This window comes from Homo sapiens, chromosome 17 (assembly GCF_000001405.40).
Source record: "Homo sapiens chromosome 17, GRCh38.p14 Primary Assembly".
Lineage (NCBI taxonomy): Eukaryota > Metazoa > Chordata > Mammalia > Primates > Hominidae > Homo > Homo sapiens.
The window spans coordinates 37,289,785-37,302,275 of record NC_000017.11 but is presented as its reverse complement, the minus strand read 5'-3'; the positions used below and the strand labels follow the sequence as shown (position 1 = coordinate 37,302,275).

Below are 12,491 nucleotides of genomic sequence, written 5' to 3'. Positions count from 1 at the left end.
AGCCGAGATCGCGCCATTGCACTCCAGCCTGGGTCACAAGAGCGAAACCCTGTCTCAAAAAAAAAAAAAAAAAGAGTTCCAGACCAGCCTGTCCAACATGGTGAAACCCTGTCTCTAATAAAAATACAAAAAATTAGCTGGGCGTGGTGGTGTTCTTTTAGTTCCAGCTACTTGGGAGGCTGAGGCAGGAGAATCGCTTGAACCCAGATGGCAGAGGTTGTAAGTGGAGATCGTGCCACTGCACTCCAGCCTGGGAGACAGAGCGAGACTCCATCTCAAAAAAGAAAAAAAAAAGAAATTAAATAAAATCTAAATAAATGGAGAGGCAGTCCATGTTCATGGATTAGAGGACTCAATATTGTCAAGACAGCAGTTCTCCTTAAATTGATCATAAATTCACAGTCCATATCAAATTTCCAGCAGCCTTTCTTTTTCTTTCTAGAATTTGACAAGCCGATCCTAAAATTTACATGGAAACAAAGGACCTAGAATAGCCAAAACACTTTTGAAAAGGGAATGTGAAGTTGGAGGTCTTCATACTACCTGATTTCAAAACCTACTATAAAGTCACAGTTATCAAGACCATGTGGCATTGCTTCAAGGCTAGGCATATAGGTCAATGGATCAGAATTTAGAGTCCACAAAGAAACCTTTAAATATATGGTCACTTGATTTTTTGACAGAGACACATCCTTGATCCAAGATTTCTCTGCTTGTAAAAACCCAATGTAAAACAGTCTCTCACAGTGTGTGTGCTGCAGTATAACTCAGACTGTGTTGCAGTCAAGCTAGCGAATGCATCACTGTCTGCCGGGTAAACTGCTACGTCATCCTTGGTGTTTGGCATGTTACAATGCTGGGATCAGTGTGGGCTTCTAGTTGGATTTTGTGCCAGGTATGTGTCTACGTTGGACACTGTTCATGGTAGATTAAAAGGGGGATGCTTTAAATTTGGAGAAATGAATGTGGCTTTTTATTTCTTGTATTCTAATATTAGAGAAAGATTGTGAGCAGCAGTGTCTATAAAAGATCTATATAGATCTCTAGCTTTGCTTTTGGACCTGGGTATGCTGTGTTAGTGTTTGGTTGTCGTAGAAAGATCCGTTTGGTGAAAGGAAGCATAAACTCGATTATTGAGTGTGCCTCTTTAGTATATTTTTCTGATATAGTTGAGTGCAAAATAGTCTGCCTTATTTTTACACTTAGTGCTTTATTTGCATTTTTGAATGGTGAACTTGTATAACAAGTTTGTTTTGTAGACACTTAAGTGTGTGTAAAATTGAGCAGCTTCTCATCTGTGGCTACTGAACTTTCCTGAACAAAGGCTGCAGTGCTCTATTTTTGAGACAGGTTATTCTGAAGAGACGTAAAGATAGAAGGGCTCCTCTGTGTCAGCTTGGTTCTTTAAAGGGAAAGTAAACTTGACTAACTTAATGGGCATTGGCACATTGTGGAAGGGATGATGTGAAGTACAGACCAGAGAACAACCAGGACTTCCATTTTTTATTATAGCTGGTTGTCATGTTGGGTGGCCTGATTGAGTTGCTTTCAAATTTGGGCAACTTGAGTCTTTACAACTTAAGTTGCCCGAATGTCCTTCAGATCAATGTTTGTTTGTTGTAATCATTTATCTTTTATCTGATTATTTAACTTCTATCTATGCTCCAGGTCATTTGTGTACTTCTGTTTTTGAAGGTTTTTCTGGAAGCTTAATATATTCTCAGCGTGGTTGGCATCAGATTGTTAACTATTTCTATCCAGCATTTTGATGGGAATAAATTTTTTATGGTTCATGATTCAGGTTAGATTTGGTGTACAGTCCTGAGGACTTGCCTCAGGAAGTTGTCTTTCTATAGATTCTAAGCCTTTAGGGTCTTTTGCCATTGATTTTTCTCCTAATACACAGAATATCATGAGCATCTACTTAAGTAAAAGCTAAAAACAGGAAGATATTACAAGATAACATTCAGCTAGTGTTTATTTCTTTAAGAGATCTGTCTGTGGCAAATTTGCTTTCATAGTAATATATGTGTCTCAGTAAGTAGTCTTTCTAGGCAGGATTTTTCTTCCCTGCTTAAGGGGGTTAGACCTCCAAAATATTTGTCAGGGTCTCTTTTCCTTTTAAGGGTTTAACCCACAATCTTTTCTGTATCCGTTTTGTACCAGCTCCATTCCTATTCTCAAGCTTTGGTGCATAAAACCTTAGTTTAGGTGTCTATATATACCACTACTTTGGCCTGAAAATTAGAATCGTGGCTCACACTTGATTCTAAGTTCCCTAGTAGTGGCGTGTTTCCTTTCTACGTGCTTACTTTCCCACCTGACCTGCTTTTCCCCACCGTGCAGTCTGATAATTGGTATTATTTGTTTTGATTGGATCTCAGAAATTACCTCTTTAGACCGAGCTGTGCTCCTCCCTCTGGATTTCATGAGCCCATTATTTTCTTGGCTTAATTGTCCTTGTAAATTTGGTCTTTTTGTCCTGGGCTTTCCCTGTCATGTGCTCCTGGCAGCCAGGAGAGGCAGTGGAGCTTTTCTCCGTTGACTGTCAGAAGAAAGTGACTGTTGTTGAAAATGTTTGCTGCAACTAAAGGAGAGCTGCTAAGATCTACTTTCTAGTTAAACAAGCTTTTATATTTCTCCCCGGCTCCTCTCAGTTCCCTTGGGAAATCAACTAATTGTGTGTGTAAGCTAAGTGTGTGGAGGAGAGAAGATGCAAAAAGGAAGAGAAAGGTGGGGAAAGAAGGAAATTGGGAACAATTAGACAAAAAGACTATAGTTTGAGGCCATCAGGAGTATTCTAGTCTGACTGAAGCCAGGCAGAAGGCACAGTATCTCTTGTCCTCCTGGGTTTTAAGCAGCTGCAACAGGAGGAGGAACTGCGGCTTGTGTTTACAAGGCCGAAATCTGAAGAAAAAGCTTCCATTCTTTTCCCATCTTGATATGGAGGGTTCTCCAGAGGAAAATAAGGAAATGAGATATTACATGCTTCAAAGGTAAGTGTTAGGCTACCACATTTGGGTAATATATATATCTTTAAAAAAACAGTAAGGTACTGACAGCTAAGCCCTGAGATTTATTTGATCATTTTTTTTCTATCTTTAAAAAATGAAGGCTATTTTTTTTAAGAAAATGAATAAAAATGGGCATATTGGCTCCTGAATGTCTAAACCTTTATTTTATATTGGGAATTTGAATAAAAGATCCCTGAGCCCATGTGTGATATTTTAGCTACGTTGAAAACAAGCACCCCATGCAGACCCTGCTGTGCTATTATTTCCTGAAGGGAACCTCAGATGTATCAGATTTACTCCCTGGATTTGGCTAGTATTTCCAGTGAAGTCTCTTCAACTGCTGTAAAGGAAAGATATTGTATAGTTTTGCAGAAAACTTTTTTAGAATGTGTGTCTGGGGCTAGGAAAGGTGCCTGCTGTAATTGTGGTATGTAGTCAGACAGAGTTGTTCAGGATGCCGAACTCCTTCACTTTGGGACCTTTCTTATTGCCATTAGAACTCAGGCTGAGGAGGAAATGAGTCAGGCCTTCTTGGGCCTTCTTCAGGCCTCTTGCAGGTCTGCACCTCCCTGCAGAGAATTGACATAAAAGACTTGAATGATTTGCTTGTGCAGTGGCGCGGTCATAGCTCACAGTAGCCTTGAACTCTTGGGCTCAAGTGATCCTCCCACCTCAGCCTCCTGGGTAGCTGGGACTACAGGCATGCACCATCATGCCTGGCTAATTTTTTTTTCAAGTTTTTTGTAGAGATGGGGTCTCACTGTGTTGCCCAGGCTAGTCTCAAACTCCTATACTCAAGCAATTCTGCCACTTTGGCCTCCAGAAGTGTTGGTATTACAGGCCACTGTGCCTGGCATCCCTCCATTATCTTTTTTGTTTGCTTGTTTTTATAATGTAGAGTTTTTATTTTGAAGAAAATTACTGAAAGTTAAACTAAACTTAGGCAAAGACAGAAAATAAACAAAAAACACTGAGTTGGCAAAATCTGTCTTTAGATCATCCTTTTCCATTCCTTTTTTTCCCCCAACTGCCTCTGTAATTGCCCCTTTTTCTTTTTTACCACTTCTTCCACCCTTTGAGGGGATAACCAAGCAAAACTTCCACTGAGAGGCAAAGAGGTATAAAAGTAACTACAATATAGCTGAGTGCAGTGGCATGAGCCTGTAGTACCAGCTACTCTGTAGGCTGAGGCCAGAGGATTGCTTGAGCCCAGCAGTTTGAGGTTGCAGGGAGATATATTCCTGCCACTGCACTGCAGCCTGGTCAACAGTGAGAACCCATCTCTAAAAATTTTTTTTCCAAAGTAACTGAGATATATATAATCTATGTTTGTGTATATATATAATATAGTATCAAAATTTTTTATGTATATACATGTATAAATATATATTTCAAAAATGTATATATAGGCTGGGCACGGTGGTGGCTTATGCCTGTAATCCCAGTACTTTGCGAGGCCAAGGCGGGTGGATCACCTGAGGTCACGAGTACGAGACCAGCCTGGCCAACATGGTGAAACCCCGTCTCTACTAAAAATACAAAAATTAGCTGGGCGTGGTGGCAGGCACCTGTAGTCTCATCTACTTGGGAGGCCAAGGCAGGAGAATTGCTTGATCGAGCAAACCCAGGAGGCAGAATTTGCAGTGAGCAGAGATCACGCCATCACACTCCAGTCTGGGTGACAAGAGCGAAACTCCATCTCAAAAAAAAAGTGTATATATATATATATACACACACATATACATACACAAACACACGCACATATATACATATATATGTACACACACGCATGTGTGTGTGGTTTTTTTTTTTTTTCTTTCGAGACAGAGTTTCACTTTTGTCGCCCATGCTAGAGTGTGATGGCGCGATCTTGGCTCACCACAACCTCTGCCTCCCGGGTTCAAGCGATTCCCCTGCCTCAGCCTCCCGAGTAGCTGGGATTACAGGCATGCACCACTATGCCCCGCTAATTTTGTATTTTTAGTAGAGATGGGGTTTCTCCATGTTGGTCAGACTGGTCTCGAACTCTCGACCTCAGGTGATATGCCCGCCTTGGCCTCTCAAAGTGCTGGGATTACAGGCGTGAGCCACCGCGCCCGGCCTTAAATGTGTTTTATATATAACATAGTTTTTATATAAAAACCTCATGGCTATACATATAGAAATAAAACGTGCATATATATCTCTATAAGTATATATTGATATATAGTGTCTGAATGTGTCTTTGCCAAAATTTATATGTTGAGGCTGGGCACGGTGGCTCATGTCTGTAACCTCAGCACTTTGGGAGGCCGAGGCGGGCAGATCACCTGAGGCCAGGAGTTCGAGACCAGCCTGGGCAACATGGCGAAACTCCATCTCTACTAAAAATACAAAAATTAGCCGGGTGTGGTGGTAGGATCCTGTAATCCCAGCTACTCAGGTGGTTGAGGCACGAGAATTGCTTGAACCTGGGAGATGGAGGTTGCAGTGACCTGACATTGTGCTACTGTACTCCAGCCTGGGCTACAGAGCGAGACTCTGCCTCACACACACACAAAATGTATATGTTGAAATCTAATTACCACTATGTCAAGAAGTGGGGCCTTTGGGAGTTGAGTAGATCATGGGGCAGAGCCCTCATGAATGGGATTAGTGCCCTTATAAAATAGGCTCCAGGCGAGGCATGGTGGCTCATGCCTGTAATCCCAGCACTTTGGGAGGCCGAGGCAGGCGGATCATGAGGTCAGGAGATCGAGACCATCCTGGCTAACATGGTGAAACCCCATCTCTACTAAAAATACAAAAAATTAGCCGGGCGTGGTGGCGGGCGCCTCTAGTCCCAGCTACTCTGGAGGCTGAGGGAGGAGAATGGTGTGAACCCAGGAGGCAGAGCTTGCAGTGAGCCGAGATCTCACCACTGCACTCCAGACTGGGAGAGAGAGCGAGACTCTGTCTCAAAAAAAAAAAAAAAAAAAAAAGGCTCCAAAGATCTGCCTTTCCCCTTCCACTCTGTGAGGACACAATGAGAATCATGCAAGCGAGTAGGACCTGGAGGCAGGGAACCCAAGAACTTTCTAGAACTAAATCAAATGGAAACAAGCACTTCAGTTATGACAGGAAGCATCCTCTTCCTTTACATAGGATATACACTGAATAAATGACTTTGTAACTTCATCATCTTTATTTACACAGGGTGTATACCAAGTAACAATGGAAATCTCTAGAGGGTATTTAAACCCCAGAAAATTCTGTAACCAGACCCTTGAGTGGCTGGCTTGCTTGGGCCAGCTCCCAACCTGTAGAGTGTGCTTTCATTTTCTTTTTTTTATTTTTTATTTTAATTTTTTGATTTTTTGAAATGGAGTCTCGCCCTTTAGCCCAGGCTGGAGTGCAGTGGTGCGATCTTGGCTCATTGAAACCTTTGCCTCCCGGGTTCAAGCAATTCTCATGCCTCAGCCTCCCGAGTAGCTGGGACTATAGGTGCCCACCACCACGCCCAGCTAATTTTTTGTATTTTTTAGTAGAGATGGGGTTTCACTGTGTTAGCCAGGATGGTCTTGATCTCCTGACCTCGTGATCCACCCGCCTCAGCCTCCCAATGTGTTGGGATTACAGGTGTGAGCCACCGTGCCTGGCCTAATTTTTGTATTTTTAGTAGAGACAACGTTTCAACATGTTGGCTAGGCTGGTCTCGAACTCCTGACCTCATGTTATCCCCCCACATTTACCTCCCAAAGTGCTGGAATTACAGACATGAGCCACTGTGCCTGGCCGTGTGCTTTCATTTTCAGTTAAGTCTCTGCTTTTGTTGCTTTATTCTTTCCCTGCTTTGTTTGTGTGTTTTGTTCAATTCTTTGTTCAAAACACCAAGAACTTGTACAGCCTCCACTGGTAACATATTTTGGCAAGCCAGCCAGGAGGTAATCCCAAAGTTTGGGGTTTATTTTTCTTGTTTGTTTTTCCTGCTCCATACAGGGGAATCTCAGTCTCTCTCTCTCTTTTCCTTTCCAACTTGGGACGGTTGGTGGGCAGCACCTAAACACAGAGGCAACTGCAGGTTTCTGGCCGGGGCCACTCTGAAGGACTCCTTTCTATCTTTTCCAGTTGTGGTCCCTGATCCCTACGTGTGGCACAGCTTGGGGCGAGCTGGCATTTGTTTCAGTGACTTAAACCTTGTTTTCTCATGCTAAATTCTTCCCTTCCCCTACTCTACTGGCTAAGGACAAAAGAAACCCACCCAGCCTCCAGTTCCTATCATTACAGTTCATGGCTATCACTCTAGTGGAACAGGAAGCATGGGAAAGTGTGGCCTTATCAAATTATAAGGATGCCAGAAGTCCAGGCCTTCATCCAGGGACAAAAGGAAACCTCATAGTAGGCCATTGCCTCTGAAGGGAAAACATGCTAAGCAGCACCAGTGCCCACCTAAGGTCAGAGACGTCTGACACTCTGAGACTGGACCCCAAAGGGGGACGGCCCAGGGATCCTCCAGACCTCAACTTCTCCAAAGGGGACACCCTAGGCAGAGTTCTGAGGTCTAGTATTAAGCCCTCCTTAGAATTTTCTCTCGCAGTTGCAATACTGTTTGGCCCAATATTGTTTGGAATCTGGAGCTTGCTGTTGAATGGGAAAGTGGGATGGAGTTGCATGTGTCAAACTGCTGTGGAAACTGCTATATCTGAAATTTTGGTTCACAGCCTTCATTGGATTATCTGTTGGGGCAAACAAAGGAAAACCCCCCAAGCTTGTATTGCTATCTCATGCCTTAAGATTCCCAGTTAAAAGCGATTGAATCTTCGTTTGTGTGCGTCTATACATGTCTAGATGTGTTTATTTGTATGCACACTTATTGTTACATGTTGTGTCTACCAAATTGGCTTATAAATAAAAGAGCACTTAAAAATTAAGTAAATAAGTCTAAGCAATTTTCAAGTTCACGTGACTTAAGTATAACTTTACTAAACAAGCTGGCTTTAAAATTATTAGTAAAATAAAACTAGAAATGCCTTCAGAATTGTCAGAATACATTCTTTGTCTGGATTTTATATTTGTCTCTGCTAAATATTTTGAGATGTCAATGTTTGGCATAGAAGGTTATAAAACTACTAACTTAGCCCATACAAAATGATCTTGGTTTGTGTGCCTTTTTTTTTTTCAACGAATGAGAGTAACTTAATGTTGTTAACTAAGTCTTCTGAGTTATTGGCAAAAAAAAATACCAGTGTATTTACCTTTAAGGCTGTTACTTAGGTTTAGGTGAGCACCTTATGTTCGCTGGCTATTAAAAACATGGTTAGCAAGGAAATAACTAACTTTAAATGATAGTGTCTGATATCTCTGTTTATAGAAGTTATCTAAATAAACCGTTAAACATGAAAGAATTGAGTACAGTGAATGGGATAAATGTTTTAGGTAATCTTTTTGTGTAAATTAAAATCTTGGCCAGGCGTGGTGGCTCATGCCTATAATCCCAGCACTTTGGAAGGCCAAGGAGGGTGGATCACCCGAGGTCAGGAGTTCGAGACCAGCCTGGCCAGTGGCGAAACCCCATCTCTACTGAAAATATAAAAACTAGCTGGGCATGGTGGTGTGTGCCTGTAATCCCAGCTACTGGGGGGCTGAGGCTGGAGAATTGCTTGAACCTGGGAAGAGGAGGTTACAGTGAGTTGAGATTACACCACTACACTCCAGCCTGGGGGACAGAGCAAGACTCTGTCACAAAAAAAAAAAAAAAAAAAAAGTCCTAAAATTATTTTTGATGCTCATTGAATATCTGGGTCAGTTCCAATTAAGAAAAGGTTGTGACATGGGGAAATATGTTTCTACAAATTGTGGAATTGTTCTTATCTATAATGCTTTTATCTCTGATGGTTCAGGATTTCTTGCTTTTTCGGGTTTCATTGAAGTTTTAGGTTACTAAGGATAAGAATTCTAGTTAACACATAATTCTATATACAAAATGTGCCAGAAAGTGTTGTGTGATTAGTGAGAAAAAATAATAATTTTGTCTAATTCGGAAGTTTTCTAAAAGTTAGTTCAAATTACAGATTTGAAAAGGTTATTTATGAAACAATGTAGTAAGGAACCGGTAAGGAGGGGAGAAAGACGTGGAAAAGTTTAGATAATAAAATATTGCTTAAAACCTGATAGAGAACTGGAGAAATTTGGCTAATTAACATTTTCATAGTTAAAGTTCTTAGTCTTGATTAAAGTAAAAATAAGTATTGTAAAAAAAAATGTGTCGGCAGTTTGCCAGTTTTTTTAATATATAGTTAAGCATGAAGCCGGATTTAGTGTGGAGCCAAATTTCACATATGTGCTTGCATTGCTTCACACTTTGTTTCCTGTTTTGCACGGGTAGTGCCGGCACTGAAGTACTTATTGGTCATTTGCCTAGAGTCAATTTCTTTTTTTTTGAGACTAAGTCTTGCTCTGTTGCCTAGGCTGGAGTGCAGTGGTGCGCTCTCAGCTCACTGCAACCTCTGCCTCCCAGATTCAAGCGATTCTCCTGTCTCAGCTTCCCAGGTAGCTGGGACTACAGGCACACACCACCACGCCCAGCTAATTTTTGTTTTTGTTTTTTTTAAGTAGAGATGTGGTTTTGCCATGTTGGCAAGGCTGGCCTTGAATTCCTGGCCTCAAGCCATCCTCTCACCTTGGCCTCCCGAAGTGCTGGGATTACAGATGTGAGCCACCGCACCTGGCCTTTCTTAAACTCTTTATCCTTTTTTATTCTCTTCTTTTCATTTTGAAATCTTTCAGGATGATGCACAGAAAAATGCTTATGTTTAAAGTCTGATCTTTCTTTTAACTTGCTTATAGAATGCCTTTTTTTTGTTAACTTCTGGCTTTCCCTTGAGAGGACTTTATATACTTTGCCCTGTTTAGAAAGTTCCAAGGGGAATCAAAGCTTGTTTTTCTCAAGATGCTTTGAGAATTTCATAGCAGCATAATGGCAGCAAGGGTAAACCTTGAAAGACTATCATTACAAAGTCTAACTGTTTAATGCTTTTTAACTGGTAAGTTTAGTGTTTGCCCCTTACTGCTTTACTTAGCAAGTTGAAACTATATTCACAAAACAAAATCATACAAATTTACATGATGTTATACAGTTATATAGAGCTCTACAAATGCTCGTATCACCCTCTTTAAAATTACCTATTATCCCTTAGGCCATTGAACAGGTAACACATTTCCGCAAGGGTAGTTCAGCTTTGCTTACTAGATGCATAAGCACATTTTTAATTGAATATATGACATTCATACTATGTTTTGTGCAAAGTTAAAAAATTACTTCTTAGAGCAGTCAAATTAACATTCTAGTATCTTCACATTTTTACAGTTTCAATGAAAAAAAAAATTCTCCTAAAAGGCACTGCCTTTTACTCTTGCCCTTTCCTTCATGTTTAATTTTATCTTAATTTTTTGATAACTATAAGACTACATTTATTTAGTATATGTCATCTCAGATTAGTATAATCGTATCAGTCATTTATTTAATAACATCATCAGGTGTTCTTTCAGTTCTTGAGAGAATTGAGATTTGTAATGGTTAGTATGACTGGCATGTATTTGGGGCTTATATGTAAACATTGGAAGACATGGGCAGCAAAGATCTAAGAAATTTGTTCTCCAAAAACTGTTTTAAAGAAACATCACCTGGTATTTGCTCTAAAGTAAGCTCGTCCAAATCACTGCCCATGGACTGCATGTAGCCCAGGACAGCTTTGGATGAGGCCCAACACAGCTTTGGATGAGGCCCAACACAAATTCATAAACTTGCTTAAAATATTATGAGATTTTTGACCAGGTGCGGTGGCTCACACCTGTAATTCCAGCACTTTGGGAGGCTGAGGCGGGTGGATCACCTGAGGTTGGGAGCTCGAGACCAGCCTGACCAACATAGAGAAACCCCATCTCTACTAAAAACACAAAATTAGCCGGGCATGGTGGCGCATGCCTGTAATCCCAGCTACTCGGGAAGGCTGAGGCAGGAGAATCGCTTGAACCCAGGAGGTGGAGGTTGCGGTGAGCTGAGATTGCACCATTGTACTCCAGCCTGGGCAACAAGAGCGAAACTCCATCTCAAAACAAAAACAAATATTATGAGATGTGTGTGTGTGTGTGTGTGTGTGTATGTGTTTTTCATCAGCTATCATTAGTGTTAGTGTGTTTCTTTTTCTTTTTTTTTTTTTTTTTGAGACAGAGTCTTGCTCTGTTGCCAGGCTGGAGTGTAGTGGCGTGATCTCGGCTCACTGCAACCTCTACCTCCCAGGTTCAAGTGATTCTCCTGCCTCAGCTTCCCAAGTAGCTGGGACTACAGGCACACGCCACCACGCCCGACTAATTTTTTGTATTTTTATTAGAGATGGGGTTTCACCTTGTTGGCCAGGATGGCCTTGATATCTTGACCTCGTGGTCCACCTACCTCAGCCTCCCAAAGTGCTGGAATTCAGGCAAGAGCCACTGTGCCCGCCAGTGTTAGCGTATTTTATACGTGGCCCAAGACAATTCTTCTTCTTCCAGTGTGGCCCAGGGAAGCAAAAAGATTGGATACCCCTGCTCTAAAAACATAATTATTTACATGGATATACAGTGAATAATTAACTGTGACTATATTCAGTGCAGGTTAACTTGAGGCAGTATTGTAGGGTATCAAGTTCAAGGACTTAGAGTCAGAAAGGTTGAATTCAGATCTGTTTTGTTACTTCTGGCTGTGTGAATGATCATGGGCAAGTTACCTAATCCCTCTGAGCCTCACTTGTAAAATGGTGCTCAAACATCATAGCATTATTGCGAGGATTAATATGCCAGTGCATGTGAAGAGCTTAGCATAGTGTCTGTCCCATAGCGAGTACTCAGAAATAGTGTTATTTTGTGTAGTTGTCAATAATTAATAAATAATAATCACCATTCAAAAATGTTTGAGCAGGCTAGGTATGGTGGCTCACACTTGTAATCCCAGCATTTTGGAAGGCTGAGGCAGGCAGATCACTTGAGACCAGGAAGTTGAGACCAGCCTGGCCAACATGGTGAAACCCCGTCTGTGCTAAAAATAGAAAAAATTAGTCGAGCGTGGTGGCACATGCCTGTAATTCCAGCTACTTGGGAGGCTGAGGCACAAGAATCGCTTGAACCTGGGAGGCGGAGGTTGCAATAAGCCGAGATTGGACCACTGCACTCCAGCCTGGGTGACAGAGTGAGACTCTGTCTAAAAAAAAAACCCAAAGATGTTTGAACAGCTTCTATCTGTGCCAGGTACCCTTTGGTGCTGGAGATACAGCAATAAATAAGAATCTCTGACCTCAAGGGATGAATAAGAGTATCTGACCTCAAGGAACACACACTATTTATCAGGGAAAACAGATGTGTTAAGCTCATGTAACAGTCCAGTGTGATTGGGAGGAAAGATGTAAGTGCATGTTCTGGTGTGGCACAGAGGAAGCTCAGTTACCTACCTCCTTAAGGGGTGAAGTTGGAAGGATCCCCATCAGC

General features: G+C 41.6%; 1 protein-coding gene across 26 annotated transcripts in view; it reads left to right on the top strand.

The window, feature by feature from the left end:
• Positions 1-12,491, top strand: part of ACACA (acetyl-CoA carboxylase alpha) — a 321,845-nt gene that overhangs the window by 104,561 nt on the left and 204,793 nt on the right. For 3 of the 26 annotated variants that reach the window (NM_198837.2, NM_198838.2, XM_047435889.1), the window contains exon 1: positions 2,509-2,996. The exons of 22 other annotated variants lie outside the window; for them this stretch is intronic. In NM_198837.2, the coding sequence (NP_942134.1) occupies positions 2,944-2,996 (53 nt within the window). In that variant the 5' untranslated portion in view covers positions 2,509-2,943. Of the gene's footprint in view, positions 1-757; positions 896-2,508; positions 2,997-12,491 lie in introns of those variants that run through there. One more of the 26 variants, XM_047435886.1, reaches the window with a different exon arrangement.